The following is a 7,405-nucleotide window of genomic DNA, read 5'->3' as shown; positions in this document are numbered from 1 at the left end:
CTGGCTAACATCCTAGTCCCCTAGGGACCCGGTGGGCAGCAGAGCACTCAAATTCTCCATCCATGTCTAGCACTGAGCTCTGCTTCATTCAATGTTCCTCTCTCTATCTTTTGGGTGCGCATGAGCACACACGATCTTTAGCTCGAATATATCCTAGAATGGTCACATCACTTATTTTATCCTGTGCTTTTGGTCCTCAGAACACACCTGCAAGTTCCAGCCATATTTCTACCTGTTGGTAGATACAGCTCCTCCTAGTGGAGTCAAATTAGAAACAGTTCTCCATTTATGACAGTCTTTCCAATGTGAGATTCAAATAGGCTAACCCAAGAGTGCGAAATTTTCCATATTTAGGGGCCTAATATCATCCAATTTCTTCCTGTAGAAGTAGTAGCAATTCATTATCAGAGAAGAAATGCAGATAAGTGAGGTGTTAGAGGAACTGACAAAGCCAGCACGCCAGTTAAGTTATCAGGGATCACAGGTCTGTATTGACTAAGAAGTATTCTAAAAGAAAATTCTTTTTAGAAATTATGTAGTTCGGGTTTTGATCCTGCAAATTCTTTCAAAAGAGGTTAGTGATTAAAAACATTGTTTTAATCTCGCAGTCTCTAAAACAATTGTTGGCATAATTGGAAAGCATCCTCAAATTCAAATGGACACAAACTACAAGAGTCCCCCTAACACCCACTCCTTAAATTCCATTTCCACAACCCAGATCCCTGCCTCAGTCCGCTGGGTGTTAGCCATGCACCTGCCCAGACAGCTGCAGAGTCTCAGACTTTGAAGAGGAGTAGTGAATGGAAGCTGAATACCTCCATATCCCATAACACACAAATGGTTTAATTCCTGTAGAGAATGGATCAGGTCAGGTGAGGTGGCTCACGCCTGTGATCCCAGCACTTTGGGAGGCCGAGGTGGGCGGATCACTTGAGCTCAGGGGTTCCAGACCCACCTGGGCAACATGGCGAAACCTTGTCTCTACCAAAAATGTCAAAACTTAGCCAGGCATGGTGGTATGCGCCTGTTGTCCCCGCTACTCGGGAGGCTGAGGTGGGAAGATCGCTTGAACCCAGGAGGCGGAGGTTGCAGTGAGCCAAGATAGTGCCACTGCACTTTAGCCTGGGTGACAGAGTGAGACCCCCATCTCAAAAAAAAAAAATTTAAAGAAGAATAGGCCAGGCGCGGTGGCTCATGCCTGTAATCCCAGCACTTTGGGAGGGTGAGGCAGGCGGATCATGAGGTCAGGAGTTCAAGACCAGCCTGGCCAACACAGTGAAATCCTGTCTCTACTAAAAATACAAAAATTAGCTGGGCATGGTGGCGCATGCCTGAAGTCCCAGCTACTTGGGAGGCTGAGGCAGGAGAATCACTTGAACCTGGGAGGCAGAGGTTGCCCAGGCTGGAGTGCAGTGGCAGGACCCAAACTCTGCAAGCCTGATCCCACTGGCTGTCTGCACCTCCCTGTGTGCTCTAGCTCCCCCTCACTGCCAACTCATGAAACACAGGCTGCTCCCAGGATACCTGGCAAGAAGAGCACCATGCCATTCAGATGTGCAGGAGTAGGGGTTTTCTCTTTCCAACTAAAGTACATGTCCACCAGCCATGGGGCAGGTAGACCAATCACTGTTGCAGAGTTGGTTTTATAGGCAACTGATGTGAAGGTGTACTGCCTGTTGTCGCAAAAGTTAGGCAGTAGGTTTTCCATTGAAAACTTTCTTATTAGAAATTCTCCCCAATCTCCATCCCAAATCACAGAATTTCTCTTACTCGATTAAGTTTTTGGACCTGGCCCCATGACAAATTAGTTATACATAGAAGATATCCAATAGTGTGGTCCACTCTTTCCATTTAACATTATTTCATACGTCTTTCCCTTAAATTCCAAAAAAAGGAGATTTCTGATAATCAATTGGCATTAATTTTCATGATCTGATAAATTACTTCTTAGGAAAATCCCAGAGGCCATCATGCTACTGGCAGGCTGGACTTGGAATTTCTTCAGCAAACCTATGTACCTTCAAAAATCCAAATTGAGGGCTGTGCATGGAGGCTCACGCCTGTGATCCCAGTACTTTAGGAAGCGGAGGCCGGCAGATCATTGGAGGTCAGGAGTTTGAGACCAGCCTGGCTTACAGGGTAAAACCCAGTCTCTACCAAAAATACAAAAATTACCTGGGCATGGTGGTGGGCACCTGTAATCCCAGCTACTTGGGAGGCTGAGGCATGAGGACTGCTTGAACCCAGGAGGCAGAGGTTGCAGTGAGCCAAGATCCTGCCACTGCACTCCAGCCTGGGCAACAGAGCAAGACTCTGTCTCAAAAAAAAAAGTCGAAATCAGTAGAATTAATGTTGGAATGCCCTTTGATTTAAAAACAGTAGAGGCCTAGGTGCAGTGGTTCAAGCCTGTAATGACAGCACATTGAGATGCCGAGGTGTGAGGATCACTTGAGTCCATGAGTTCAAGACCAGCTTGGGCAACATGGCAAAACCCCATGTCTACAAAAAATTTAAAAATTAGCGAACCATGGCACATGCCAGCTACTCAGGAGGCTGAGGTGGGAGGATCCCTTGAACTCAGGAGGTGGAGGTTGCAGTGAGCCAAGATCACACCACTGCACTCCAGTCTGGGTGAGGGAGCCAGACACTGTTTCACAAAAGAAAAAAGAAAAGAAAAACAGTATAAAATGAATAGAAATGCTGGGCGTGGTGGCTCACGCCTGTAATCCCAGCACTTTGAGAGGCTGAGGCGGGCGGATCACAAGGTCAAGAGATCAAGACCATCCTGGCCAACATGGTGAAACTCTGTCTCTACTAAAACTACAAAAATTAGCTGGGCATGGTGGCACGCCCCTGTAATCCCAGCTACTCAGGAGGCTGAGGCAGGAAAATAGCTTGAACCCTAGAGGCAGAGATTGCAGTGAGCCAAGATCACGCCACTGCACTCCAGCCTGCTTACAGAGCGAGACTCCATGTAAAAAAAAAAAAAAAAAAAAAAAAAGAATAGGAATACTGATCCTTAACTCTATATTGCTGGGCTGGCATACAATGAGACTAGTTTAAGGAGCTGGACAAAGAGGGGATTACAAATTCCTTTTGCTGGATAGATAATAGAGGCTGGGTAGGGTATGTGGGAGGAAGCAGAAGGATGAAGAGAAATAGGTTAAAGGGTACAAACATACAGTAAGATAGAAGAAATAAATTCAATGGTTTTTGTTGTTGTTTTAAGACAGTGTCTCACTCTGTCGCCCATGGAGTGCAGTGGATCAATCACGGCTCACTGCAACTTCGATTTCCGGGCTCAAGTAAGTGTTCCTCCCACCTCAGTCTCCTGAGTAGCTGGCATGCACCACCACACTCGCCAAATTTTTAAATTTTTTGTAGAGACAGGGTCTCCCTATGTTTCCCAGGCTGGTCTCCAACTCCTGGGCTCAAGTGATTGGCCCGCCTCGGCCTCCCAAATTTCTGGAGTTACAGGTGTAAGTCACCATGCCCAGCCCCAAATTCAATGTTTGATATTGACAGCATGGTAGAGTGAGAGTACACTATTTTTTTTTGGAAACACAGTCTCACTCTGTTGCCCAGGCTGGAGTGCAGTGGTGCAATCTCACTCTCGGCTCACTGCAACCTCAGCCTCCCGGGTTCAAGCGATTCTCGTGCCTCAGCCACCCTAGTAGCTGAGATTACAGGCACGTGCCACCAGGCCCAGCTAATTTTTGTATTTTTAGTGGAGACAGGGTTTCGCCATGTTGGCCAGGCTGGTCTCAAACTCCTGACCTCAAGTGATCCACCCGCCTCTGCCTCCCAAAGTGCTGGGATTACAGACGTGAGCCACCATACCAGGCCGAGAGTACACTTAACAAAAATGTATTGTGCTCAGATAATGGACACCTTAAATACCCTGACGTCATCACTACACATTATATACATGTAACAAAATTTCACATGTATCCCATAGATTTGTACAAATTTAAAAAATAATAAAAAATTAGCTGTGCATGATGGCACATGTCTGTAATCCCAGCTACTCAGGAGGCTGAGGCAGGAGAATCACTTGAACCTGGGAGGCGGAGGTTGCAGTGAGCCAGGATAGCCACTGCACTCCAGCCTGGATGACAGAGGGAGCCCTTGTCTCAAAAATAAAAAAATAAAAAATAAAATGACACTTTTTGGGGAAAAAAATACAAGCCAGACGCAGTGGCTCACACCTATAATCCTAGCACTTTGGGAGGCCGAGGCTGGCGGATCGCTTGAGCCCAGGAGTTCAAGACCACCTGGGCAACAAGGTGAAACCCTGTTTCCCCCGACCCCCCTCAAAAAAAAAACTACCCAGGCTTGGTGTCGCATGCGCCTGTAATCCCAGCTATTCAGGAGGCTGAGGTGGGAGGATAGCTTGAGCCCGGGGAGGCGGAGGTTTGCAGGGAGCTGAGATCTTGCCACTGTACTCCATCCTGGGCGACAGAGTGAGCAGAGTGAGTTCCAGTCTCAAAAAAAAAAAACCTCCTTTTGCTGGGGCATATTGGTGGAGACGGTGGCTAGGGGATAAGTATGCAGTTTTTCTCTAGGCGGGAAACTTAATTGAAGTTTATCAGGCGCGAGTCATTAACAAAATTTGCGCCCTCTAAGCTAACACGGCAATATGGGGCTTAGACACCATAGCTAATCCCCAGTCGCGAAAAACCCTCCCGATTTGCTTGGGATTGGAAAGAAAAAGAAAATACACATTCATACTTTCATACATGACATACACACACACACACACATTTATATATAAATACACACAGAAAGCACAGGAAACACAAGCAGAATTAACTGTCTTGTTCATACGGCCACTCAGTGAAATGTATACTGTATATTGTGTTTGAAATATATACTTCCCTTCAAGTGTTTCAAGTTCAAGGCTGAGAAAGAACTTGGTCTCTTGCTTAGACTTGAGGAGCCTCACTCGGAACTGGAAGGATGCACGCAATCTAGTTGCCCCACCGGCTTATTTATATTGATGCACACATCGCTTCCTGTCGGTGACGACCGCCTAGATCCGGGGAAGGGTTTTGCAGAAGTACCCAGAACTGTGTCCAAGGTTTCCTCAGATTTGGGCTGTTCCGCAGCGGCAGGTCCCGGGAACCAAGGCAACAGACATCTTCCTAGGCTCGCGAGAGCGCCCCCTTGTCCCACGGCTGCTGGGGCCCCCCAGTAGCCATGGCTCCGGTGTCCGGCTCACGCAGCCCGGATAGGGAGGCCTCGGGCTCGGGGGGAAGACGTCGCAGTTCGTCGAAGAGTCCGAAGCCCAGCAAATCTGCCCGCTCCCCGCGGGGCCGCCGCTCTCGCTCGCACTCTTGCTCTCGGTCCGGGGACCGGAATGGACTCACCCATCAGCTGGGTGGCCTCAGCCAAGGCTCCCGAAACCAGTCCTACCGCTCACGCTCGCGGTCGCGTTCTAGAGAGCGGCCCTCTGCGCCCCGGGGCATCCCCTTCGCTTCTGCCTCCTCGTCAGTCTATTACGGCAGCTACTCGCGCCCCTACGGGAGCGACAAGCCTTGGCCTAGCCTCCTCGACAAGGAGAGGGAGGAGAGCCTGCGGCAGAAGTGAGTGAGACGGCCGCACTTTCTCTTGTACGAGCCTACGTGCCTTTGGAGTCCGATCTATCATTCATTCCGCTTCTGACTATTCGCATTTCGCTCACTCTGCTTGCCTTGCGCCCATTTTCATCCCTTTCTTTAATCCACCCACGACAACCCTTTATTCGTCCTTTTCATTTTCCCTTACCCTCAGGCCCCTTCATATAGTGCCCTGGTCTCCCGCTACCCCCTTCCGCCTCCTGTCTTGTTAGCGAATATTGCCGAGAGTTCAGACCTACCAGAACTGTAGCATTTACCTGGTTGTGTCATTATCATTCGTGAATATATTTGTATTCCCCACTAGACTGAGCTCATGGAAAGGAGGAGCCAGTGAACGGAGGAGAATTCTGATCACAGAATTCTAAGTGCCTGGTACTTTATAGGCGCTCAACCATTGCTTGTTGAATGAAGGAACTTACAGGTCTGAGATAACAGGATATTTATGTAGAAACGTTTTGTGGGGAATTAGGAAGGAATGAAATCAAGGGTTTAAGTTGGAGAGGAAATAAACCTTCCCCTCAGACAAGACGATTAGATGCATGTAGGAAAAGTGATCTGATAAGCTATAGATGACCCCACTTTGAGGAAGGTCTTGTTAAGTGGTCTCAGTCTTGACCTCGAAAAATGACGCCAGGATGAGACTAGATCTCTAATCAAAGTGAGTATTGGAGTGGAAAAATGCATAGCTTGGGGATTGTTTTGTTTTGTTTTTGAGACAGGGTCTAGCTCTGTCGCCCAGGTTGGAGTGCAGTGGTGCAATCTTGGCTCACTGCAGCCTCCACCTTCTTGGGCTCAAGTGATCCTCCCACCTCAGCCTCCCTCATAGCTGGGACTATAGGTGCGCACCACCACACCCGGCTTATTTTCGTATTTTTTGGTAGAGACAGGGTTTCACCATGTTGCCCAGGCTGGTATCGAATTTCTGGGCTCAAGTGATCCTCCCACGTTGGCCTCCGGAAGTGCTGAGATTACAGGTATGACCCCACATGCCCTGCCGAGCCTGTCCTTTTCATCACTATACTTTATTACCTCCCACTGCCGGAAGAAAAAGACTCAAGACATCTCCCAACTGTTGGAACTTTAACCTACCTCTCAATGCCTGTAATATTTCTAAGTTTCTCATTTTTTTAAACATATAAGTGCACGTAAATAACTTAGTACAGTGCCTGACACATAATTTAACAATAAACAAGATATTAAGACTTACACAGCAATAATTATGAGCCTTTTCCTTTCTCCTTAAAACTATGCATTTTTTGGCTGGGCACAGAGGCTCATGCCTGTAATCCCAACACTTTAGGAGGCCAAGGCAGGAGGATCACTTGAATCCAGGAGTTCAAGACCAGCCTAGGCAATATAGGGATACCCTGTCTCTACAAAAAGTGTTTTAAAAATCAGCTGGGCGTGGTGGCATGTGCTTGTAATTTCAGGTACTGGGGATGCTGAAGTGGGAGGATCACTTGAGCTGGAGAGGTCAAGGCTGCCATGAGCCATGATCTCACCACTGCACTCCAGCTTGGGTGACAGAGGGAGATGCTGTCTCAAAAACAAACAAACAAAAAAAAACAAAGAGAAGAACAGGAAGAAAGAAAGGAAAAGGACAAACTCCAGAATCAGACTGAGTATGAAGCCTTTATTTGCCACTTAATAGCTGTGTGACCTTGGTCAAGTTACTTAACCTCTCTGGGCTCCATTTCTTCATCATTAAAAGGGGGATAAAATAAGTACTATGGATTAAAAAGGGGATAAAATAAGTACTAGGGATTTGGGGATTGTAATAATTAAGT

At 47.5% G+C, this 7,405-nt stretch overlaps 1 protein-coding gene across 1 annotated transcript in view, besides 1 other annotated feature; it reads left to right on the top strand.

Moving 5' to 3' along the window:
* Positions 4,817–5,317: an enhancer, noted in NCBI's record as "H3K27ac hESC enhancer chrX:119077451-119077951 (GRCh37/hg19 assembly coordinates)". NCBI's record gives its function as "activates a minimal SCP1, AML or CMV promoter by ChIP-STARR-seq in primed H9 embryonic stem cells {active_cell/tissue: H9 hESC(primed)}" and the evidence as "EXISTENCE:reporter gene assay evidence [ECO:0000049][PMID:30033119]".
* NKAP (NFKB activating protein) overlaps positions 5,054–7,405 on the top strand; it is a 23,080-nt gene continuing 20,728 nt past the window's right edge. The window contains exon 1 of the mRNA NM_024528.4: positions 5,054–5,585. Coding sequence (NP_078804.2) covers positions 5,200–5,585 — 386 coding nt within the window. The 5' untranslated portion in view covers positions 5,054–5,199. The remainder of the gene's footprint in view (positions 5,586–7,405) is intronic.

Source organism: Homo sapiens, chromosome X (assembly GCF_000001405.40).
Source record: "Homo sapiens chromosome X, GRCh38.p14 Primary Assembly".
NCBI classification, from domain to species: domain Eukaryota; kingdom Metazoa; phylum Chordata; class Mammalia; order Primates; family Hominidae; genus Homo; species Homo sapiens.
The sequence above is the reverse complement of the archived record's forward strand: the minus strand, read 5'-3'. Positions and strand labels throughout refer to the sequence as shown.